The sequence below is a fragment of the Homo sapiens genome, chromosome 2 (assembly GCF_000001405.40).
Source record: "Homo sapiens chromosome 2, GRCh38.p14 Primary Assembly".
Classification (NCBI taxonomy): Eukaryota; Metazoa; Chordata; class Mammalia; order Primates; family Hominidae; genus Homo; species Homo sapiens.
This window is the reverse complement of record NC_000002.12, coordinates 61,218,756-61,244,142: the sequence shown is the minus strand read 5'-3', so window position 1 is coordinate 61,244,142 and position 25,387 is coordinate 61,218,756. Positions and strand designations below refer to the sequence as shown.

Here is a 25,387-nt window from a genome sequence, read left to right as displayed (position 1 = left end):
TTGTTATGAATTAACCATTTACAGTCTGGATTTTATAGTTGATCTTAGCCGAAAGTTGAGAAATGATACACATTCCAGATTTTAATGAAGGGCTTCCTTATTGCTTCTCGGTGTTCTTGTCTACTCTGCTGAATGGAAAAAGAAAAGCAGTCCACTTGCTAACAATTTAGAAATGGGTAGAATAGGGAAGTAAATATTGAGTTACTGCTAAAGCCACCACTAAACCAATTGCATCTGTAGATGTTATGCCTAGAATGTCTCCTTTTTTTTTTTTTTGAGACAGTCTCACTCTGTCACCAAGCTGGGGTACAGTGGCGTGATCTTGGCTCACTGCAGCCTCCAACTTCTGGTTCAAGTGATTCTCCTGCCTCGGCCTCCCGAATAGCTGGGATTACAGGCACGCGCCACCATGCCCAGCTAATTTTTGTGTTTTAAGTGGAGACGGGGTTTCACCATGTTGGCTAGGATGGTCTTGATCTCCTGACCTTGTGATCGCCCACCTTGGGCTCCCAAAGTGCTGGGATTATAGGCATGAGCCACCGTACTCAGCCGAATGTTTCCTTTTAAAAAAAAAAAAAAAAAAATGAAGGAAGAAGAGGAAGGCTCTTCTCTTAAAAAGTAGTTTTTCAAATTGCAGGTCCACTTTTTTTTTCTTTTACATATTTTATGGTAAAGTATCTTTAAAAAATGTTTTGAGGCCGGGCATGGTGGCTCACGCCTGTAATCCCAGCACGTTGGGAGGCCGAAGCAGGTGGATCACCTGAGGTCAGGAGTTCAACACCAGCATGGCCAATGTGGGGAAACCCCACCTCCACTAAAAATGTAAAAATTAGCCGGGCGTGGTGGCGGGTGCCTGTAGTCCCAGCTACTCAGGAGGCTGAGACAGGAGAATCGCTTGAACCCGGGAGGTGGAGGTTGCAGTGAGCCGACATCGCGCCATTGCACTCCAGCCTGGGTAACAAGAGCAAAACTCCGTCTCAAAAAAATATAAAATGTACGCTGGGCATGGTGGCTCAGGCCTGTAATCTCAGCACTTTGGGAGGCTGAGGCGGGCGGATTGCTTGAGGTCAGGAGTTCGAGACCATCCTGGCCAACATGGTGAAACCCCATGTCTACTAAAAACACGCAAAAAATTAGCCAGGTTTGATAGCGGGCACCTGTAATCCCAGCTATTCAGGAGGCTGAGACAGGAGAACCCCTTGAACCAGGCGGAGATTGCAGTGAGCTGAGATCAAGCCATTTCACTCCAGCCTGGGAGATGAGCAAAACTCCGTCTCAAAGAAAAAAAAATGTTTTGAATCTTTGTGTTTTAAAATGTCTGCCTCTGTCCCTTCTGATTTCATTGCCCATAATGCTGCTTGTCTGCTTCCCTTGGCTTTTTAAATTTTTTCTGTCACAGCACACCTGAAGTTCTCCAGCATTACCAGTAGAATCCTCGTCTCCTTACTCATTAAGAAACAGTCTTTAAGTTCTCAGAAGCCCCACCACTAAATTCTCGTAATATGCCATATGTTCACTTACCTCTCTGGGATCCTTTGTTCAGCCTCCTTTTGTCCTATGACCTTTCTTTCTTATTCAAATTCTAGATCTTTACTGATTGCTTCTTATTGCTTCATGGTCCCTTTTCTTTCCTTTGCATCGTGTGTGTGTGTGTGTGTGTGTGTGTGTGTGTGTGTGTGTGTGTATGTATTATCTTTGGTTGACTCTTACCTTTTTCTGACTCTTACCTTTTTCTGATGCTTCTTTTGCTGTCTCCCATCAGTTGGATTGCTTAAAGTGTGTACTGACAAAACCATTTCATCTGCATAAAGTTACTTACAACTTTGAGGTTCAAAATTATGTTTGTGAAGGATTGGTGGAGGTAGATGTTTTGACATGTCAGAATAAATTACAGCTTCGTGCCAATGAGATATTTTAATAATATGCTTTCCTCATTTATAATGTTGCTGAGAAAGAACTATTTAAATTCAGTTTTTATTTCCACTTATTTATTGCATTTACCAAAATTAGGACAAGGCCAACTACTTTCTTGCCTCACTGTCATCATTTGTTTTCTTTTGTTATAGTAAAATTTTCTCAGTCTCAACTTTATAGTGTTCTCTATCTAAAAATAATAAAAATAATAAAAACTAAAAAAAAGATATTAGGATATATTGGCCAAATTGTGAAGTACGTAGAATTTTTATGAAGGCGGCGGTGTTTGAAAACTACTTACAAAGTTACTATTAAGTATAAAATAGCTGTTTATGAAATAATTTATATATAAATATAGCTGAGTATACCCATTTTTTCAAAGAAGTAAAACTTTTGTATTTTTAAACAGACCAAGACCTATGATTCTGTTACAGATAAATTTATGGACTTCTCTTTTGAAAAGGTAACCATTTTTTTCATGTATAATTTTATATTGTTTTTTCTTCTGCATTGTCTACTTTTAGAGTAATACTTTGTCAAAATGAAAATAAATTTTTTTCTTGCCTCTTAAAGACACACAGTGCATATATGCTGTTTTACAAACGCATGGAACCAGAGGAAGAAAATGGCAGAGAATACAAATTTGATGTTTCGTCAGAGTTACTAGAGGTATAAGTTAATTTCATTTGAGCAACATTTTAAAAATATGTTAAGTGTTTATGCAAGGAATACTGTAGTGTAAGAACAGGTTCTACAGGTTGATATCTGCAATTCTGAGTAGATCTTAAGAGTATTTACAAATAGTCTTGGTAATACTGATATAAGACCCGTAAATGAAAATGAATGAGATTAAATGGAGTAGAAAATATCACTAAAAGAGAGTAGGCGACTGGGTGTGGTGATTCATGCCTGTAATCTCAGCACTTTGGGAGGCCGAGGTGGGTAGATCACGAGGTCAGGGGTTCAAGACCAGCATGGCCAAATGGTGAAACTCTGTTTCTCCTAAAAAATACAAAAAGTAGCCGAGCGTGGTGGTGGGCGCCTGTAATCCCAGCTGCTTGGGAGGCTGAGGCAGAGAATTGCTTGAACCTGGGAGGCGGAGGTTGCAGTGAATGGAGATCACACCACTGCACTCCAGCCTGGGTGACAGAGCAAGACTCCATCTCAAAAAAATTTAAAAAGGTGGCAGAAAGGTTGAGGGAATCAGAGTGACTTAACAATTTGTGAGGTTAGTAATGTTTTGCTTCTTAGATTGGATGATGGGTTTGTAAGTGTTCCTTCTGTTGTGTCTCATGATACAGACCCATGCCCTCAAGCATGCATTGTAATTGAAATGCCATTAAAATGTATTTTACACCCAGGCGCAGTGGCTCATGCCTATAATCCCAGCACTTTGGGAAGCTCAGACAGGTGGATCACGTGAGGCCAGGAGTTTGAGACCAACCTGGCCAACATGGCAAAACTGCAGCTGTACTAAAAATACAAAGATTAGCTGGGTGTATTGGTGGGCACCTGTAATCCCAGCTACTCAGGAGGCCTAGGCGAGAGAAGCCCTTGAACCTGAGAGGCGGAGGTTATAGTGAACCGAGATCACACCACTGTATTTCAGCCTGGGCAACAGAGCAAAACTCTGTCTCAAAAAAAAAAAATGGGCTGGGCGCGGTGGCTCATGCCTGTAATCCCAGCACTTTGGGAGGCCGAGGCGGGCGGATCACGAGGTCCGGAGATTGAGACCATCCTGCCTAACATGGTAAAACCCCATCTCTACTAAAAATACAAAGAATTAGCTGGGCATGTTGGCGGGCGCCTGTAGTCCCAGCTACTCGGGAGGCTGAGGCAGGAGAATGGCGTGAACCTGGGAGGCGGAGCCGAGATCGCACCACTGCACTCCATCCTGGGCAACAGAGTGAGATACTGTCTCAAAAAAAAATGTATTTTACATATTAAGGAATACAAATGTGTTCATTTGTAGTTATGAGGCTTCATTTCAGAATGTTGTAAGTAGTAATAGTACATTATTGAGTACATAACTGAATGTGTTTTGGTTTGGTGTTAGGAATTCAGTCAGCCAAAAACACAAAAAAGCAAATCTTCTCCAGAAATGCACACCTGATTAAATTGTATGCATTTGTCTAGGCAATTCAGCTTTTACTATCTGGATAAAAAAAAAATTTTTTTTTTGTAATATTGGGATCAAGTCTTTTTTTTTTTTTTTTTTGAGAAGGAGTCTCGCTCTGTCGCCCAGGCTGGAGTGCAGTGACGGGATCTCAGCTCACTGCAAGCTCCACCTTCTGGGTTCATGCCATTCTCCTGCCTCAGCCTCCCTAGTAGCTGGGACTACAGGCACCCGCCACCACACCCAGCTAATGTCTTTTTTGTATTTTTAGTAGAGAGGGGTTTCACTGTGTTAGCCAGGATGGTCTCAATCTCTTGACCTCCTGATCCGCCCATCTCGGCCTCCCAAAGTGCTGGGATTACAGGATTGTTCTCAAATGCTTTTAACTAGTATCTTGCCTGCACATGTGTTAATGGTAAAAAGCCAGGAATGTTGTCTTTTTTCAATTCCATGAATTGGATTTAGCAGCTGAATTAGATGGTATTCATTATAAATGGCTTCATTAGATTTGAAGCTACTAAACTTACCTATTTGTATAAAAATTTATCTCAATCATCATCATAACCACAATTAATTTGAATCATTTTTGTGCACAGCCTTTTGCCCTAAAGATATTAGACAAATCTAGACCTTGCTTTATATAAGTACCCAACAGTGTTTAATGACAATTAGCCCACTTGTGAAGTAAAATGAAATTTTAAATAAAACCTTTACAATGATGATGTATTTTGTTTATTTACATCAGTGGTTCTCAAACTTCTGTGTGTGTGTGTGTGTGTGTGTGTGTGTGTGTGTGTGTGTGTGTGTGTGTGACAGGGCCCTCATTTAAAGTGAGGAAGCTTAATCATTTCTAGCTTTTGATTTAAGGTGAAAGATGTGTGACTCCTCCTTTTACTGGATACAGAGAGGCCATTGTAGGGTTGTTAATTGGCCTAATTCCAGTATTGTCTCAGAGAATATGGAGGCCTGAGGAGAGGGAGAAAGTGAACAGCTACTCGGTGCAGTCAGAACACACACAACATGTATTAAGTTTGCCGTCTTATATGGGTGTAGTTCGTGGTACCCTGAAACAATCACAACAGTAACATCAAAAATCATACTGGTTATAGATCACCATAATAATATAATATATAATAATATATAATAATGATGAAAATGTTTGAAATATTTCAGGAATTACCACAGTGTGACAGAGACAGAAAGTGAGCACATGCTATTAGAAAAATGGTGCCAATAGACTTGCTTGATTGCAGGGCTGCCACAGCCCTTCAATTTGTTTAAAAATACAGCATCTGCAAAGTGCAGTAAAGTGAAGCACAATAAAATGAGATATGCCTGTACATTAGAAAATTCCTCATTGCAGACCTAAGCCAACAATTTTTTCTATAATTGTTCCAGCTTACTATTTTTAAATGGGTGTGCCTACATGTTTTCTTAAAATTAAATTTAAAATGTAAAATACTGTGTACATGAATATTAATATGGTTTTAGATATAAACCAGAATGTGGTTTTTTAGATTTGTACATTTAAAGCATAGTTATTAATCCCAAAGGATAACATAAAACATTTTAGAAGCATAAAAGAGATTAAGCAAACTAATTATAAATTGTAATGATTCTTACAGATAATAGAAGGTAACAGTTCTCAGAAAGTGTAGTTGATAGTGATTGCTAGAAAAGGGTCAGGAAATGCTTCAGGAAGTTAACCTTAAACTGAAACTTGAGAGTTAGAGAAGAGGTAATCATGTGAAGAATGCTTCGGGCCAGGCAAAACATTATGTACAAATTGCCTAGGAAGGACAGAGCTTATTGGCATGTTTTGGAAGCCAAAAAGTGACCTGTATGGCTGTGATGGAAGTTCAAGGAAAAGTGGCCCAAGATGAGGATGGACAGTTAGGTAGAAAATAGCTAGGGTAAGGCTGGGCACGTTGCCTCACACCTGTAATCCCAGCACTTTGGGAGGCTGAGGCAGGTGGATCACTTGAGGTCAGCAGTTCGAGACCAGCCTGGCCAACATGATGAAACCCCCTCTCTACTAAAAATACAAAAATTAACTGGGTATGGTGGCGGGCACCTGTAATCCCAGCTACTTGGGAGGCTGAGGCAAGAGAATCGCTTGAACCTGGAGGTGGAGATTGCCGTGAGCCGAGATCGCGCCATTGCACTCCAGCCTGGGCAACAAGAACGAAACTTGTCTCAAAAAAAAGAAAAGAAAAAAGAAAATAGCTAGGGTGGCTGGGCAGGGTGGGCAGGATGAGATTACACCTGTAATCTAAGCACTTTGGGAAGTAGGTGGATTGCTTGACCCCAGGAGTTCAAGACCAGCCTGGGCAACAGGGCAAAACCCCATCTCTACAAAAAAAAAAATACAAAAATAATAGCTGGGCATGGTGGCACGCACCTGTGGTCCCAGCTGCTCAGGAGGTTGAGGTGGGAGGATCACCTGAGACCAGGGAGGTCAAGGCTGCAGTGAGCTGTGATCATGCTGCTGCACTCCAGCCCAGGTAACAGAGTGAGACCCTGTCTTTAAAAAAAAAAAAAAAAAAAAAAAAAAAAAATCCACAGAAAATAGCTATACACATACATAGATACAGTATAAAAAGGACTATCAAACAGACAAGTGTTTGTAAAACAAAAACAGAGCAAAACCAAAAGCACTTATATGATAGAAACCACAGTATTACCAGCCTTTAGGTCCAGGAGATCATGTTGACCAGTAGTTAGGCCATTATGGGGTTGAAGGGACAAAAATTGTGACACAGAATCTACAACTGAGCCCATGGCTGGAATCCAGAGTTTAGAATGGGGCTCCCTTATTATTTATAAACAGTACTGAATGAGATGGGCAGAATGCTATCAGACTCTGCCTGATACAGAGTCTGATACAGGGGCTACAGCTTAATAGAAAGTTTTTGTGCCTGGAAATGCCCAAGAACTCTGAAGCCGGCTATTCACTGATTAGACTGTGATTTCTGGAATATCACTGTAGAGCAGGAACCCTATTAAGTTCTAAATTAGTGTAGTGGGCTGGAGAGGCAAAGAGGGATAGTTGAAAATCTTCAGTGGAAGATTAAAGATAAAGTTGGGACTTTAATCAGCTCAAAATGAACCGACCAACCAAAATTCCAAAATAAAATCAGAAGTATAACTCTACAAAAAACAGCTAGTAATATCAATAGTCAGAACATCTAGGTAAAAATAGTTTTATAGAACTGACAAAAATGTAAGTCATATTTAAGGTATTCAGACAGATGAAGACAAAAACAGCATTGATCCTGCAGTCCTAATGTCAGAAATAATTTTTCATGATTTTTATAAACAAATCACGTCTGATTTAGGTCTGCTAACCAGAGTTAAGTATTGTGCCAACTTTTAAATGTAAACCTCTCTTTTGTAACCTTATCAGAATGTAACATGACTTATATTTCATTCAATTATATACTTGCTCTTCAAATAGGATTTCAGAATTCTTGCAGCATTTTTATAAATACAATAAAAACCTCACAATTGCTTGAGGTAGCCAGATAAGTATTAATAATTACAAAATATTAGTAGCAACCATTTATATGAATATACTTGGGAAAAAATCAAAATGAACTTAAAGTGCATGGATTTTATTTTATTTTGTGGTTTTTTAGAAGAGACTTTTTGTCTAATAAAAATATTGGTAAAATGTAATGAAGTAAACTGCTTTATCACTAATGTTAACATTTTTATTTTCAGTGGATTTGGCATGATAACATGCAGTTTCTTCAAGACAAAAACATTTTTGAACATACATATTTTGGGTAAGTTTGGTAAATTTCATAGTAGATATTTTACACATTTTAAAAAAATCTTACGTGTGAATTTTAAATGATTATTTTTAAATTCTAGATTTATGTGGCAATTGTGTAGTTGTATTCCCAGTACATTACCAGATCCTAAAGCTGTGTCCTTAATGACAGCAAAGGTAATAAATATATGAACTTTAAATAATTCTGTCAAAATTTACTACTTTAAAATGATTGAAGCTTTTTTGCTTTATCTTTTCTTACAGTTAAGCACTTCCTTTGTCCTAGAGACATTTATTCATTCTAAAGAAAAGGTATGTGTTTTCTACTATGGATTTTTTTGTCATTTATGTTTTTATCAGATATCTTTTGGTTTTTGTTATTGTTGGCTCAGAAGTTCATATGCTTTGACTGACTTTTCTTTTCTAGCCCACGATGCTTCAGTGGATTGAACTGTTGACGAAACAGTTTAATAATAGTCAGGCAGCTTGTGAGGTAAGGTGATAATTCAACAACTAATGCATAGTTTAAGATTCTTTTTTTTTTCCCCCCCTCTGATCTAAGATGCTACAGCAGAGTTGTTTTATCTGTCACAGGGAGCCAAATGGAAGTCATTCTTAAAATCATTTGGTAGCTGAGAAAGTTATAATTTATATATCACATCCATTACACTGATTAAATAATTGATTATTAAGTCACTTAAAAATTCATGTTTTGGCCAGGTGTGGTGGCTCACGCCTGTAACCCCAGCACCTTAGGAAGCTAAGGTGGGTGGATTACGAGATCAAGAGGTCGAGCCCATCCTGGCCAACGTGGTGAAACACTGTCTCTACTAAAAATACAAAAATTAGCTGGGTGTGGTGGCACATGCCTGTAGTCCCAGCACCTCGGGAGGCGGAGGCAGGAGAATCGCTTGAACCTGGGAGGCAGAGGTTGTAGTGAGCTGAGATTGTGCCACTGCACTCCAGCCTGACGACACAGTGAGACTCCATCTCAAAAAAAAAAAAAAAAGAAAAAAAAATTTTTTCCCCCCTTCATCTACCAGAAGGAAAACTATGTATAGAAAATTCAAGAGTCTTCCAAATATTTCTTAACCAGCTTTATTAAGGTATAAATGACAAAAATTTTATATATTCAAGGTATACAAAATGATTTGATGTATGTATACATTTTGAAATGATTACCCCACATTCAAATTAATTAACACATCTATCACCATGTAGTTATGTGTATGTGCGAGTTGTGAGGACACAAGATCTCCTCCCTTAGCAAATCTCAAGTAAACTGTGCAAAATTTTTTAGTCTTTTTTTAAATCAGTTTTGTCTCAAAACAATACAATATTATAACTAGTGTCATGATGCTGTACATAAGATCCCCAGAATTTATTTAAAACAGAAACTTGGGACTGTGCATGGTGGCTCACGCCTGTAATCCCAGCACTTTGGGAGGCTGAGGCGGGCGGATCACTTGCGGTCAGGAGTTCAAGACCAGCCCGGCCCACATGCAAAACTACATCTCTACTAAAAATAAAATTAACTGGTCATGGTGGTGTGCACTTGTAATCCCAACTACTGGGGAGGCTGAGGCAGGAGAATCACTTGAACCCTTGAGGCAGAGAAGCAGTGAGCTGAGATCACACCACTGCACTCCAGCCTGGGCGACAGAGTGAGACTCTGTCTCAATTTAACAAAATAAAAATAAAAAATAAACCTGAAACTTTGTACTCTTTGGCCAACATCATCTTCCTATTTCTTCCATCCCTCTCTTAACTACTTTTGTATGTTGTTAGAAAATGCTTAACATCATCTGTCACTTCCTCTTTCCCCACTCTCCCCGCCAAAAAAAAATTCACCTATCCACCTGTCTCAGTAGATCAGTTTATGCCTGGTTTTCTCTCTCCATCCCCTATTTTAAGAGGTGCATCCCTAAGGATAACCCACTCAAAGGTAATGACAGCTTAATCATATTGCCATCTTAACTTCTAGGTTAGCAACCAAAGAGTTGTAAATCTCCATAGGAAGGCAAGTCTTACGAATTAACAGAAGTGGGGAATAGCAGTCTGGTATATAATAGATGAATTATAGTTAAAGGTTTTTTGCATATTTAGAAGTTCATCTGATTATACCTTATAGAAATAGAGTAAGGGAATCTATTCCTCAGAAATTTCAAACACTAAAGTGTAACTTTTTGAAATTTTGTAATGAGAATTTGGAAACATGGACAAAAGTAGAAAGGGATAATAAGCTGTCACATACCTGTTCCTCAACTTCAATAAATAATAATAATCTTTCTTTCTTGTTTCATCTATCCCCTATTCCTTTTTTTTCCATAATGGAAGAATTTTAAAGGAAACCTAAATAGATCATGCATCCATAAACACCCAGTATATATTTCTAACATAAGAAAACTTCAAAAACATATGCAACCACAATTTCATTCACTCCCAGTAATATTAGAAGTGACTTCTCATCTTTATAACTTTTTTTTTTTTTTTTACCCCCAGAGTGGGTGTCACTCTGTCATCCAGGCTGTTGAATGCAGTGGTGCACAGTCATAGCTCACTGCAACCTCAAAATCCTGGGCTTGAGCAATCCTGCCTCAGCCTCCTCCCTCAGCCTCCCGAGTAGCTGGGACCACAGGCACATACCAACACACTCAGCTAATTTTTTTTCTTTTTTTATAGAGACAGAGTCTCTTTGTTGCCCAGCTGGTCTCAAACTCCAGGCTTCAAGCTATCCTCCTGCCTCTGCCTCCCAGAGTGCTGAGATTACAGGCATGAGCCATTACACCTGGCCAGAAGTGATTTATTCTTGTCATCTAATACCCATCCTATGTTCAGTTTTCTCCATCTCAAAAAAAAATTTTCAGTTGATTGGTTTAAATGAGTGGTTCAAACAAGTTCCACATTTTGCATTCATCTGTTTGTTAAGTCTTCCTTAATCTATAAAAGTTACTTTTTTTTTCTCCATGCCATTTTTTGTCATTTGTGCTGTAGGATTTCCCACATGCTTTCTTTGACTAATTGCATTTTCCTGGTGGTGTTTAACATGTTCCTCTGTTTCCTTCTCTTCTCATGGCTGTTCGATAGATCCAGAGTTTCTCAAGTGCTAATTAGATCATAATTTGTTTTTAAACAGAAAGAAAATTAATCATGCTCATATCACATATTATTAATAGGTGGCCGGGTGACATGGCTCACGCCTATAATACCAGCACTTTAGGAGGCTGAGGCGGCCAGATCACCTGAGGTCAGGAGTTCAAGACCAGCCTGGCCAACATAGTGAAACCCCATTTCTACTAAAAATACAAAAATCAGCCAGGGATTGTGGTGCGTGCCTGTAATCCCAGCTACTCGGGAGGAGAATCACTTGAACCTGGGAGGCAGAGGTTTCAGTGAGCCGAGATCGTGCCACTGCACTCCAGCCTGGGCAACGGAGCAAGATCTGTCTCAAAAAAAAAAAAAAAAAAGGGGGGGGGGAATATATATATATATATAATTAATAAGAACTAAAGATTCTATGTCACATTTATGAGGGCTAAGAGAATGATATTTTATTATGATAAAGGACCACAGATTGTCATGCACATTGTGTACTATAATGTAAATGGCATTCCATGGAGTTGTGTAATGAGGTAACCCTTATTATGATTTTAGAGTTTGACTTTTATGACAATTAGAGAAACTTTTCTGGTAAGAACTTAAAAGAATTAAAACATTGACTAGAAATAAAATTCTTATGTGACTGTTATCCCATGTAACAAATATTTGTTGAATGTTAAAGTCATGCTGTATTTTTTTTTAACAGTGGTTTTTAGATCGTATGGCTGATGACGACTGGTGGCCAATGCAGATACTAATTAAGTGCCCTAATCAAATTGTGAGACAGGTAAGGAAAAATATGTTTGAAAAAAATTATTTGGAAAAGAAGTTACTTTCAATTTAATTATTCTCAATTTGCTTATAAGTGTGTCTTAACCTAATATTGATAATAGTTTGAAAAGATCTGCCTCCTATCATAAAAGTCATTTTGTTGTTGGTTTCACCAGGTTCTTTTAACATCAGCTCTCACTCTAATAAGGTGATTAAAATTATGCACATTTCCTGGATATAGGAAGATTGACTGTAATTTCCTGTTCTTTTATTATTAGATCCTGCTCTTTATTATTAGATGCTTTATGAGTTATACTGATTCTTTTAAAATCCTTACACATTCTAACCATGGTAGGGTACTATAGTGACCTCAAAAGCTAATGAAAAGGCTGTAACTTATTTCTGTGATTGGGTCTGAACTGTCAAACGAAACAGTTTGTTTTCTTTAAATTGTTGGGTAAAATAGACAATGAAATTTAAATATTACTTTATAGTCACTTTTCACAAAATCAAAAACTTAGTTGACGTATGCCACTTTCCAGTTACTATTGAGATATATATGCGTGTGTGTATATATTACATATATATGTTATATATCATATTTATATATTTATAAATTTATATAGAACATACATATATATGTATATATATTTTTTTAGAGGGTTTTGCTCTGTCACAAGCAGTCCTCTTGCCTCAGCAGGTAGGACTACACGCACACACCACCACACCTGGTAATTTTGTTTTGTTTTGTTTTTAGACAGAGTCTTGTTCTGTCACCCTGGCTGTAGTGCGGTGGTACTTCATGGCTCACTGCAGCTTCCACCTCCTGGGCTCAAGCAATTCTCCCACCTCAGCCTCCTGAGTAGCTGGAACTACAAGCACACACCACCACACCTGGCTAATTTTTGTATTTTTTTGTAGAGAGAGTGTCTCTCCCCTGTTGCCTAGGCTGGTCTCAAATTCCTGGGATCAGGCAGTCCTCCCAACTTAGCCTCCCAGAGTTCTGGGATTATAGTTGTGAGCCACTGAGCCTGGCCTAAGTTACAATTCTTATACCATAAAATTTACCCAGACCTTTCAAAATGTAAAATTTAGTGGTTTTTAGTATAGTCACAAAGTTGTGCAGCCATCACTACTACCTAATTTTGGAACATTTGCCACCCCCACCCCCCACCAAAAAAAAACCCTATACCCATTAGCAATCAGTTCCTATTTCATCCTGTCCTCTCTCCTCAATACCTGACAACTACTAGTCTACTTTCTATCTTTATAGATTTGCCTATTTTGACCATTTCATATAAATGGACTCATACACTATTAGTCTTTTGTGACTTACTGCTTCGATTTAACAATCTTTTCAGGATTTATTCATGTCACAGCATGTATCCATATTACATTTTCTTTTTTTGCCAAATAGTTTGTCAAATGTATATAGTCCACATTTTGTGTTACCTGTTCATCAGCTGAATATTTGAGATGTTTCTACTTTTTGGCTGTTTTTAGTAATGCTGTTAGGAACTTTTAGTACAAGTTTTTGTTTGGATATACTTTGTCACTTCTTTGTGTATGTTTTTAGAACTGGTAAACTGTTTTTTGTTTTTGTGTTTTGTTTTTTTTTTTTTTGAGACGGAGTTTCGCTCTTGTGGCCCAGGCTAGAGTGCAGTGCCGTGGTCTTGGCTCACTGCAACTTCCGCCTCCAGGGTTCAAGTGATTCTCCTGCCTCAGCTTTCCAAGTAGCTGGGATTACAGGCGCGCACCACCGTGCCCAGCTAATTTTTTGTATTTTTAGTAGAGACGGGATTTCACCATTTTGGCCAGGCTGGTCTCAAACTCCTCACCTCAGGTGATTTGCCCGCCTTGGCCTCCCAGTGTGCTGTTACTACAGCCACTGCACCAGCGGTAAACTGGTGTTTTTTGTTTGGTTGGTTGGTTGGTGTTGTTTTTGAGTTGGAGTCTCACTCTGTCAACCAGGCTGGAGTGCAATGGCGTGATCACGTCTCACTGCAACCGCCACCTCCCGGCTTCACACAGTTCTCCCTGCCTCAGCTTCCTTAGCTGAGATTACAGGTGCCCACCACCACGCCCGGCTAATTTTTGTATTTTTAGTAGAAGTGGGGTTTTGCCATGTTGGCTAGGCTGGTCTCGAACTCCTGACCTCAGGTGATCCACCACAGCCTCCCAAAGTGCTGGGATTATAGGCTTGAGCCACTGCACCCAGCTGGTAAACTGTTTTTTTATAGTGACTGCAGTGTTTGACATTCTTGCCAGTGATATATAAGTGTTCTAATTTCACCATAATCTTCAGCAGCTGATACTGTCTTTTATTTTAGCCATCCTAGAAGGTATGAAGTGGTATCTTATTGTGGTTTTGGTATGCATTTTTCTCAAAATGGTTACACATTTTTTTCATGTGATTGTGGGTCACTTGTGTATCTTTAAAGAATCCTCACATTTCCTTCTCCTAGCTGCTGACCCCATGATGAGCAGCGGCCCTTCCCCATTCCACTCTTCTTAAGGAATTGGATACTAGATTTTCTTTTCTCTGTATCTCCACTAGCTAAAAGGATTTTTTGAAGCTTTGTTTTTGATCATCTGTATTACTGAAATGTACAGTTTGTTGAGTTTTTTCTCTTTATCATAAAACTGAATTTTTTTAATGCTACCTTTGCCTCATTTCCTTAGTCCATTGTTGAGACTCCAGAAGAGCTCCAGAATACCAAGATAATCTTGTGCAAACTATAAATGGGTGGCAGAGAATTTTGAATCATGTTAATTTTTCAAATCTTTGTTACCTGATGAGTTGGCTCTTGTTTGATCTTTTTCTTTCTTCACAGATGTTTCAGCGTTTGTGTATCCATGTGATTCAGAGGCTGAGACCTGTGCATGCTCATCTCTATTTGCAGCCAGGAATGGAAGATGGGTAAGAAGTACTTTTTGAATAAGTTTGTGTGTCTGTGTTGTGTGTGTGTGGTGTTTTTGTTTTTTTTTTTTGTTTTTTTTTTTTTTTTTTAAGAGATAGGGTTTCTTCATGTTGCCCAGGCTGGTCTCAAACTCGTAAGTTCAAATGATCCGCCCGCCTCGGCCTCCCAAATTGCTAGGATTACAGGCATGAACCACCATGCTTAGCCCTAATTTTTAAGTTTCTTAACAACCTGCCTACAAAATATTTTTTAAAATCCACACTGAAATATTTGTTCTGTTTAAAAAATAATCTGTAATAATACATTCAAGAAGGTAAAACTGTTTTTGTTTTATTTAAATTTTGCATCTGCAAAATCCTCTACAAATTACTTTATGGCTTAGTCTTTTTGTTTGCATTGATTTAGCCAGTCACAATAACTACTTAAGTTATTGCGGTTCATATTCATTATCTCAAAGATAAAAGAAATTCAGAGTTTAAAAAGTACTTTTTCTCTCGAACAGTATTTCCAGACCTCATACATTCTCTAAGATCTATTTAATTGTCTCTTAGGTCAGATGATATGGATACCTCAGTAGAAGATATTGGTGGTCGTTCATGTGTCACTCGCTTTGTGAGAACCCTGTTATTAATTATGGAACATGGTGTAAAACCTCACAGTAAACATCTTACAGAGTATTTTGCCTTCCTTTACGAATTTGCAAAAATGGGTGAAGAAGAGGTGAGGCTATATCTTGTCTATTTTTTTGATTATCTACCTTTTTTCAGTATTTGCAACTTAATTGCTTTTATTTTATATTTTTAAATTTTGTTTGTTTGTTTGTTTAGAGCCAATTTTTGCTTTCATTGCAAGCTATATCTACAATGGTACATTTTTACATGGGAACAAAAGGACCTGAAAATGTAAGTACAGTTCTATCGTACATTAGGTATTAGAGGCTCTGGTTTTCATAGTTTGCATCGTGCGAAGTCCTGAGATGTTAGAACCCTTTAAAGTCCCTTCTGGAACCTGGTGTTAGATAATATGAAGGGTCTAAGATTGGTTGATGTTTTTAATGTAATTTTAATGGATATAGCAAGAAAGAAACAACTAGGTAATGAAGTTCATTCATTGGTAAGGTCTGGAACAAAGCAAATAAACTTAGGCAAAGTGGTCACCTACTTTAGGGTCTTATCAATAGTGAATTGTTTTTGTGAACATTTTGCTGGTCACATTTTTAAGTTCTTTGCTATTAAGTTTATGAGAGTCTTTCCAAAATTTAAGTAGGTGGTCTATGAATAATATTAAAGTATTACATCAGTTTTGTGTTGTTCATAACAAATGCATTAGGTTGTATGATCTACTTGCACTCTTTTTCAGTCCTTTTCTTAACCATAAGAGATAAGTACCCTTTATATCTCCATTTAACAGATGAGACAATTGAAACTTAGAGAAGTTAATTTGTTTTAGATCACAGTGACTTGTTGTGCTTTGATCCTCGGTCAGACTACTGAGCTAAAACTCTTAAACACTGTTTTGTAATGCTTCACAGAATATACACTAGTAGATCATAAAATCTTTTGAGTCTGCATTTAGAAGCCCAAGTGAATATCTCTTTGAAATACCCACTATTTGGATTATCAGGGAACTATAAATAAGAATTTCTTATTTTGTATAACTGGCATTTTTATTAAATAGGAAATACTATTTTATCATACTTGCAATTTTTATCGTGACTTGTCTTCCAATGAGCTTGCTTATAAGAAAAAAGTTATTCAAGGGTTTATAGGTAAGGTAAGTAGTCAGTGTTGAGGTTTTTTGTTTTTTTTTTGTTTGTTTGTTTGTTTGTTTGTTTTTGAGACAGAGTCTCACTCTGTCTCCCAGGCTGGAGTGCAGTGGTGCTATCTCAGCTCACTGTAACCCCCACCTCCCAGGTTCAGGCGATTTTCCTGCCTCAGCCTCCCGAGTAGCAGGGATTACAAGCGCGTGCCACCACGCCTGGCTAATTTTTGTATTTTTAGTAGAAACGGAGTTTCACCATGTCGGCCAGGCTGTTCTCGAACTCCTGACCTCAAATGATCCACCCGCCTCAGCCTTCCAAAATGCTGGGATTACGTGAGCCACCATGCCCGGCAGAGAATTGTTATTCTTTACAGTTCTGGCAGTTTAATCTAAGATTGTCCTGAATGTGGTTTAGAGTGTTTTACATTAGGTTTAGGTCTTTGTGCAGTTGTTTTTCATGTTACAAGCTCCTGCCACCATCTACACTGTTACATAAAACAAGTCATTTGTTCTCAAAATGATATTAAAACTACTACCGTATTAAAATTGAATTTTATTCCAACTTAGCCTCAAGTTGAAGTGTTATCAGAGGAAGAAGGGGAAGAAGAAGAGGAGGAAGAAGATATCCTCTCTCTGGCAGAAGAAAAATACAGGCCAGCTGCCCTTGAAAAGATGATAGCTTTAGTTGCTCTTTTGGTTGAACAGTCTCGATCAGAAAGGTGAAATGTTTCGAATTTAAAATGTTTAAAGCATGTTTGGTTTTATTATTTTTACATAATTGTTTACCACTAGTTTTTCCACTAGCTTTTTATTATATATGTTTAATTATGTAATTGTTATTCACTAGCTTTTATTATATAAATCCTTTTAAATAATACTACTATTCATCAACTCTTGTGGCATAAGAATTTCAGTTTTTTCTACCAAACTTTTACTTCATCTATGAGTCGTGTTAGAAATAGTCATTGAAAAAATATACAGTAAAATATCTAGCAAAATAGAGCGTGCATTCGTTCTTTAACCTAGCAACTTCATTTCTAGGAATCTGTGTCCAAAATACAGAAAGATGTATATGCAAATCTGTTTATTGAAACCATGCTTCTGATAGCAAAAGACTAGAATCAGCTGAATGTCCATCAAAAGGGAACTAGTTGAAAAAACAGCATCCATTCAAAAGAATATAGCTGAAAAAGGAAGTATGGAATTTATCTGTACTACCACAGAGAAATCTTTAGGATCTATTACTAAGTAAAAAAAGGTGGGAAAAAGTGTATATGATATCCTACTTTTTAAGGGAATGCTATGATGACAGAGAGAGAGAGTGTGTATGTGTGTGTGTGTATGTGTATGTACAACCAAACCTCATTATTTGTGGATTTCCTATTTGCAAATTCACCCATTTGCTAAAATGCATTTGTAATGCCAAAAGTGGCACTCGGGGAGCTTTTGCAGTCATTCACAGACGTGTGCATATGCAGAGTGGCAAAAAACTTGAGTTGCCTGACATGCCTTTCCAGGTAAGGTCAAACAAGGCAACAATTTGCCTTTTTGTTTCAGTTTCCATATTGTAAACAAATGTACTTTTCACGGTGTATGCTGTGAAAATTTTTTGTATATTTATATGTTTTGTTCGTGATTTTGCTGTTTAAAATGGCCCTCAGCCAGGTGTGGTGGCACACGCCTGTAGTCCCAACTACTTGGGAGGATGAGGTGGATGGCTTGAGGCCAGGAGTTTGAGTCTGCAGTATGCTACTTTGGCACCTGTGAATAGCCATTACAGTCCAGTTTGGGCAATATAGCAAGATCCATCTGTAAAAATAAGTAAATAAAATGGCCCTCAAGTGTAGTGCTGAAGTGCTCTCTAGTGTTCTTAAGCTCAAGAAGGCCATGATATGACTTATAGGGAAAATACGTGTTAGACACATTTCATTCATATGAGTTTTAATACTATTGGCAGTGAGTTAAACGTTAATGAATCAACAATATATACTAAATAAGGTATCTTTAACAGAAACACTCATAAAACAAAGTAAATGTATCGATTGGTTGACAAAAATATTACCAGAGGCTCACAGAAACTTAATCGTGTATTTGCCCTAGTAGTAATAATTTGGTATTTGCTAATTCAGTATTTGCCACACTTTATAGAACACAACTACCTCAAATACAAGAATTGACTATAAATCAAAAACTTTTTTTTTTAATGGTTTCCAGTGGATAGAGGAATAAAAACAGGGTGGAGGGGACAGGAATGGATTTTTGACAAATTTAACTTTGGTATCATATAAATGTATAATTATAAATAAATGAATAAGAAGTAATCTCTAAAAATCAAAAGCACAGTGAAGTAAATGAACCTAACTATATATTAAATAGGTAAATTTCTAGTGGGATGTATATGAAGGACAAAAAGAATTGTAAAATTTTCCTAAACTGTAATAGTAATTATATTATTTGTAATAAAAGTATTATTCTGAAAGTATTAATGTATATTACAGGATGAAACAAATAAGTAACTGTTAATGTCATTGGAAACCAAGATTTTCAGCAAAAGAAAGATAAAAATATTAAATTGTAGGGTTTTGCATAACTTATTTAAAACTAAATTTGAATTGGAAATATCTGTAGCAGTTTATGGTATATTTGCAAACAGAAAATCTGTTACAGAAAATCTGTTACAGAAAATGTTTTACCTACCACTGTTTTCTGAAAAGACCTGGAAACCCTGTACAACCCAGAATCAATGAGTACCCTTGGCATCTAGGGTATAGTCTCTAGGTTTCATTTCCCACTGAAAGAATTGGGGTTCCTTGGAAAAACGACTAGTTACAGTTCTTGGGAAAGAAATGAATGAGAAGTTTGGAATGTCTTGTCATTTTGGAAAGCAAGGAGGCAGTCTAAGACTACTGAGGTCATGGTAAAGAAACTCAAGAGCCAACTTACGGAGGTTTCTACTGGTCATAGATTGAACAGCTTTGAGCATCGGTAATAACTGCAGTGGACTGTGAATCACATCAAAGATGTTTAAATCCATGAGTTCATAATACCTAAAAAGAAATTTTTTTTTAGTTTACTTGCAACTTTTGGAGTATATTAGGAAATCAAATCATTATTTTTGAAACTGATAAATAATGGAAAACAGTATCAAGCATTTATTCTACTTGCAAGTATACTTCGTGGCAACCAAATGGTGATTGAGGGGAAGTTTGTGTTCTTATATGTATTCAAGCTAATTAATGAGCAAGGACAATTGGAATTAGAATATCACTGTTTTGGAATCCCAGATGAAATGATGGATCTAGGCAGTTGTCACCACTGACAGAAAACCTTACAAAAAGACTAACCCTTCATTGTGTGCCTTCTACAAGATACTGTTAATTAAAAAGTCAAACCTAGATCTCATCAAGTCTGGATCTGACTACCAGTTTATAGAAAATGCAGGGACAGAGAAACATGTTAAGACAGCACCATAAGGATACAATCAGCAAAGTGTAAATGTGAGAGAAACTACAGGACAAATGACCTTCAACAGATAAATTGCAAACACAAAGCTGGTGGGGAAACCAATAGATTAAAATATTTAAGAGACTTTTCAACTAATTATGGCAAAAGGCTTTATTTGAATCCTGATTCAAACAAGTTAATTTTAAAAATCTTTTTAGAAACTTCAGGAAATGTGTACGCTGGATATTGTATGACAGTGCGGAATTATTCATTTAGGCATGAATAATGGTACCGTGGTTGTTTTTGAAACCTATCTGTTAAAGATACTATGATTTATGGATTAAATGATAAAATGCCTGGAATTTGCTTCAGAATAATTCATATTGAGTGGATGGGGGTTCAAATGAAACAAGACTGGCTCTGATTTTGGTAAATTTGAAGCTGACTGATGGAATACTTGTACTATTCTGTTTTTTAATATAGCTGAAATTTTTATAAGTTATAAAAGAAATATGCAATCTAGGTGTAGTGGCTTGTGCCTGAATCCTGGTTACATAGAAGGATCCCCTGAGCCTAGTAATTCAAGGCTGCAGTGAGCTGCGATCACATCACTGCATTCCCGCCTGGGCAACAGAAGTAGACTCCATCTCTAAAAAGAAGGAAAGAAAAAAAGGAAGAAATATACAGTAATTTTAAACTGGGAGATGAAATGCTAATTTCTAGAAGTCCATTTGGTTTTGAAGGGTCTCATGTCAAAAAAAAAAAAAAGTAAGTAAAATAAGACCCATCCTACTGTTTTATATACTAAAATAGTAAGTTAATTAAATGAAAATGAAGTACATTTGGGCTTTCATTTACCAATCCTGGAATGTTGAAAAGTTGCCCAAAAGACATTTAGCAAGCAAATGTAGCTAGCAAAAAATCATTTTATGATGGCAGGTTAATACAATTATAATTGAATCAACAATTTTTGATACATGTTGTAAATCGCTGTAAAGTAATACAGAAGGAAGAAAAACTTATTTCCACTAATATTTTCTTTCAGGCATTTGACATTATCACAGACTGACATGGCAGCATTAACAGGAGGAAAGGTAGTACATTCTCTAATATTAGACAATTTGATCATCACAAAAATAATAACGGTTCTTAAATGAACAACTTTTGCTTTTGACAGGGATTTCCCTTCTTGTTTCAACATATTCGTGATGGCATCAATATAAGACAAACTTGTAATCTGATTTTCAGCCTGTGTCGATACAATAATCGACTTGCAGAACATGTAAGTGCTAAGGAACAGTCTTAAAGATTTTTGGAAATTTTAAAAAAGAATACCCTGAAATCTGGCCGAGTGCGGTGGCTCATGCCTGTAATCCCAGCACTTTGGGAGGCCAAGGCGGGAGGATCGCTTGAGCCTAGGAGTTTGAGACCAGCCTAGGCAACATAGTGAGAACCCGTCTCTACACAAAATAGAAAAATCTAGCCGGGTGTAGTGGCACATGCCTGTAGTCCCAGCCACTCGGAGGCTGAGGCAGGAGGATCGCTTGAGCCTGAGAAGTGGAGGCTGCAGTGAGCTGTGATCTCGCCACTGCATCCCAGCCTGGGTGACATAGCGAAACCCTGTCTCAAAAACAAAACAAAACAAGAATATCCTGAAATCCTCCTCTTTCTGTTTTAGATTGTATCTATGCTTTTCACATCAATAGCAAAGTTGACTCCTGAGGTATGTAAACATTTGTTAATTTATGTTTTTAAAACAATTTTCAGCACTGCTAATGCTTTCAAATGAGCCTAATTGTTCTCGAGAACAAATTTATCAGGGTTTCTCCCATAACATAATAACCTATTTTTAAGTGTATAATGTGAATAAAATGAACTACTAATCATGTCTTATTACGAATATAATTTTCCCAACTAAATGTAAATATGTGTATAGACTCATTGTATCAGAGTGCCACCTGGATGCCAGGCTTTAAAGTTGTTTGATTGGGAACATATATCCTAATTGTGCCCAAAGAAAAAGTAGAGCAACCAGGACTCAGCATGTGTGTAAAAGTATATAGAAAATAGAATGCAGTGTTATATAAAAGTATTTTTGTAAAATGGAAATGCTATAGCTATTTTAACAATCGATGTCAAACATTACTATAAATTACCCCTCAGGTTGCTATAGGAAGCTTTTAATCTAAATTTTTCAATAGAACACAGTTGTCTCATTAACAATTTATTTTTGGGGTTGGGGACATGTTGCTTAAAGGATACAAATCTTCATGAATAAGTTCCAGAGATCTGTTGTGCAATGTAGCGACTACAGTTAATTATACTTGAAAATCATTGAGTAGATTTTAAGTGTTCTGACAAAAAATAAGTGTGTGAGGTAATGCATATGTGATTAGCTTGATTTCGCCATTCTACAATGTATACATATTTCAAAACGTTGTACATCGTAAGTATTTACAGTGTTTGTCAATTTAGAGAATATTTTTATAATTATCTTTTCCAAAATACTCTTGACATCCAGAAAAATCTATCATACGTGGTTCCCGGTTGACTTTGTACCCCTCGCTGATCCTGCTGCTTTATGGTAGTTCAGGTTCACATGCAGAAGTACTGGCTGAGCTCTCCTTCCCTAACACAGATTTAAATATAGTGTGTAGTAGAATATATGTTTCTTCTCTGCTGAAGGAGATGGGTTCAGATTGATCTAAATACACAGTCATGTATGTGTTTTACAGGCAGCCAATCCTTTCTTTAAGTTGTTGACTATGCTAATGGAGTTTGCTGGTGGACCTCCAGGAATGCCTCCCTTTGCATCTTATATTCTGCAGAGGATATGGGAGGTAAGTCTTGCAGCAGGTGTTTTCAATGTTTATTTTCCTGAGGATTTTATTTTTATAATATAGTCACTACCATTTTAAGTACCAGTTTCTTATTACCCCAAGATGGTTTTAGTAAGTCACAGGTTTGGGGAGGAAAAGAGTTCCTAGCTAGTCTCCTAGTTGTATTAAAGACATTCTTGTAGCATCATAAACAGCTTTAGCCAATTTGAAGTTTTCATTCCCCTACCCTCCAAAGTTCCATAAAGCAACTAGAAGTCCTAGAAATACAAACCAAGTGTTTTCAAGAATTGACAGAAATGGTAGAGGAAGCACCAGCCACCTTTTTGCTTCCAGAGTTACTGCTGAGGTCACAAAATTTCTCCTTGTTTGAGTATTGGAAAAGCTCAAGACCAGGGGACAGCAAATCTTCTCCCAAAAGGGTCAGAGAGCAAATATTTTAGACTTTGTGTGGCATACAGTGTCTGTTGAAACTACTCAACTTTGCTGTGGTAGCATATGAGCAATCATGGACAAGAAATGAGTGGGTTATGGGTGTGTTTCAATAAAACAACAAAAACGGGCAGCCACAGAATTTGACCTGCTGGCCATAGTTTGCCAACCCCCACTCTAGATTCCTAGGATTCCCCTTTCTCATGAAGAAACTCTCCACAGCAGTACAGCGAGCTTCTTGTATTCTCACTTAGTACCAGGTTGGGCATGTAATCAGAAAAGTAAAGATGAGAAACCTTAGAGAAATAAAAATACTTTTAAATAAATTTCCAAATTTAGCAAGACCTAGAAGTTATGGAGTTCTCATATTTGTCTTATGGTACTTGGTTATTTTAAATTCATTTTGTAAACCAGTGACATATTTTTCTGAACACTTCCTGTTGATAAAAGTAAAAGTAGCTTTAAAAATGGGAAAAAAATAGGGTGAAACCTTTTTAATCTCTAATTGTCAAAAAAGTACTTTAGCTTTGTGTCTAATAGCATATACAAAAAGTAAGTAAAAGTAATTGCTCATTCAGTTGGCCTTATATTCTGTTCTTGTCATGTTATTTGTAGGTGATTGAATACAATCCTTCTCAGTGTCTAGATTGGTTGGCAGTGCAGACACCCCGAAATAAACTGGCACACAGCTGGGTCTTACAGAATATGGAAAACTGGGTCGAGCGGTTTCTTTTGGCTCACAATTATCCTAGAGTGAGGACTTGTAAGTCAAATATTTAGAATTTCATAAACCATTTATTTATTGTTCAAAGTTATGTTTCATTTTGTTTTTAGGCAACTACGACATGCCCATTGTTGTATACTACGAAATTCTTGGAGATGTTATTTCCTTTTTTTTTTTTTTTTTTTTTTTTTTTTTTTAGGATAGGAAACCATGTTATTTCTTGGGTAACATCATCACTACTATCATTTTTGTTTCCTTGCTTGATAAGAGTGATAAGGCATGATCAGCAGTAATGAAGGGAATAAAAAGGTTTGAAAATCCTGTCTTAAAAGTAACTTTTGAGAAGGTTAAGGATAAAATGGTAATAAAGACATAAGCTGAGAGAAAATATTGGCTGAAATTATGAGTTATATAAACACTTTAAGTTGTACACAAGCCAGTAAAAAAGATCTTAGACAGGTAGACACATATCAAAAATATTTCACAAAATAGAAAGTTGCTTGGAAATAAACATAGAAAATGTTATTTTGATAGTTCAAAAAAATGAAAATTTAATTTTTAAATTTCTTATTATAAACATTTTCTATCTATTTGCTGAGAAGGCCCTACAGTCATTGATACTTAAGTAGCAATAAACATGTCTGGTATCCAGATGTTGAATTTTTTTTTTTTTTTTTTGAGACAGAGTCTCACTCTGTTGCTCAGGCTGGAGTGCAGTGGTGCAGTCTCAGCACACTGCAACCTCTGCCTGTTGAATTCAACTGATTCTTTCACCTCAGCCTCCTGAGTAGCTCAGATAACAGGTGCACGCCACCACACTCAGCTAATTTTTGTATTTTTAGTAGAGACAGGGTTTTACCGTGTTGACCAGGCTGGTCTTGATCTCCTGACCTCAAGTGATCCGCCCACCTCTGCCTCCCAAAGTGTTGGGATTACAGGTGTGAGCCACCGCACCTGGCCCAGATGTTGGATTCAGAACACCATTCTCCAGTAAAAGAATTCATGGCTCCTAGGAGAAATCACTGATTTTAGGGCTGGGACAGGGAATATACAAGATGTGTGTGGAATATCCTATAGTGTCAGAAAGTGAAAGTACTCAAAAATCAAAATGGTGGGTGTATGTCAGAGAAACACAGAGCTAACCTGAAAGAACTCCCAATGGCCAAAGCCAGAACAGTTTGAGTAACAAAATAACATAGCACTGGATTATAACCCCAAGGATAAAATAAATATTCATGAGTCCATACTTAGTAGAAATAAATGATTGAATAAATAAATGGAGAGTAAACAAATCTCCCATACAAAAGAATTCCATATAATATATGTACACATCTCCCCAGGAGGTGGAGCTTAATTCCTCACTCATTGAGTATGAGCTTAGTGACTTTCTTCCAAGGAATGGGGTGTGGAGGAAGTAACTTTACAGTGAAGAAACTTTACAGTACAACTCAGCCGGGTGATAAAGGTTAATTAACATCATTGGTAATCAATGAGGTTGATAGTGTGTACCCTTGATATGGCGTGATGGCAAAGGGCACTTCATCTCTTGTGGTCTTCCTTCCAAAAACCTATAACCTGAATCTAACCATGACA

The 25,387-nt window shown here is 37.2% G+C and overlaps 1 protein-coding gene across 1 annotated transcript in view; it reads left to right on the top strand.

Moving 5' to 3' along the window:
• Positions 1-25,387, top strand: part of USP34 (ubiquitin specific peptidase 34) — a 283,625-nt gene that overhangs the window by 226,945 nt on the left and 31,293 nt on the right. Inside the window, exons 52-67 of the mRNA NM_014709.4 lie at positions 2,324-2,377; positions 2,488-2,583; positions 7,754-7,818; positions 7,907-7,982; positions 8,070-8,117; positions 8,233-8,298; positions 11,611-11,691; positions 14,510-14,595; positions 15,148-15,316; positions 15,424-15,498; positions 16,925-17,076; positions 20,847-20,895; positions 20,979-21,083; positions 21,480-21,524; positions 22,537-22,641; positions 23,686-23,833. Coding sequence (NP_055524.3) covers positions 2,324-2,377; positions 2,488-2,583; positions 7,754-7,818; positions 7,907-7,982; positions 8,070-8,117; positions 8,233-8,298; positions 11,611-11,691; positions 14,510-14,595; positions 15,148-15,316; positions 15,424-15,498; positions 16,925-17,076; positions 20,847-20,895; positions 20,979-21,083; positions 21,480-21,524; positions 22,537-22,641; positions 23,686-23,833 — 1,420 coding nt within the window. The remainder of the gene's footprint in view (positions 1-2,323; positions 2,378-2,487; positions 2,584-7,753; positions 7,819-7,906; positions 7,983-8,069; positions 8,118-8,232; positions 8,299-11,610; positions 11,692-14,509; positions 14,596-15,147; positions 15,317-15,423; positions 15,499-16,924; positions 17,077-20,846; positions 20,896-20,978; positions 21,084-21,479; positions 21,525-22,536; positions 22,642-23,685; positions 23,834-25,387) is intronic.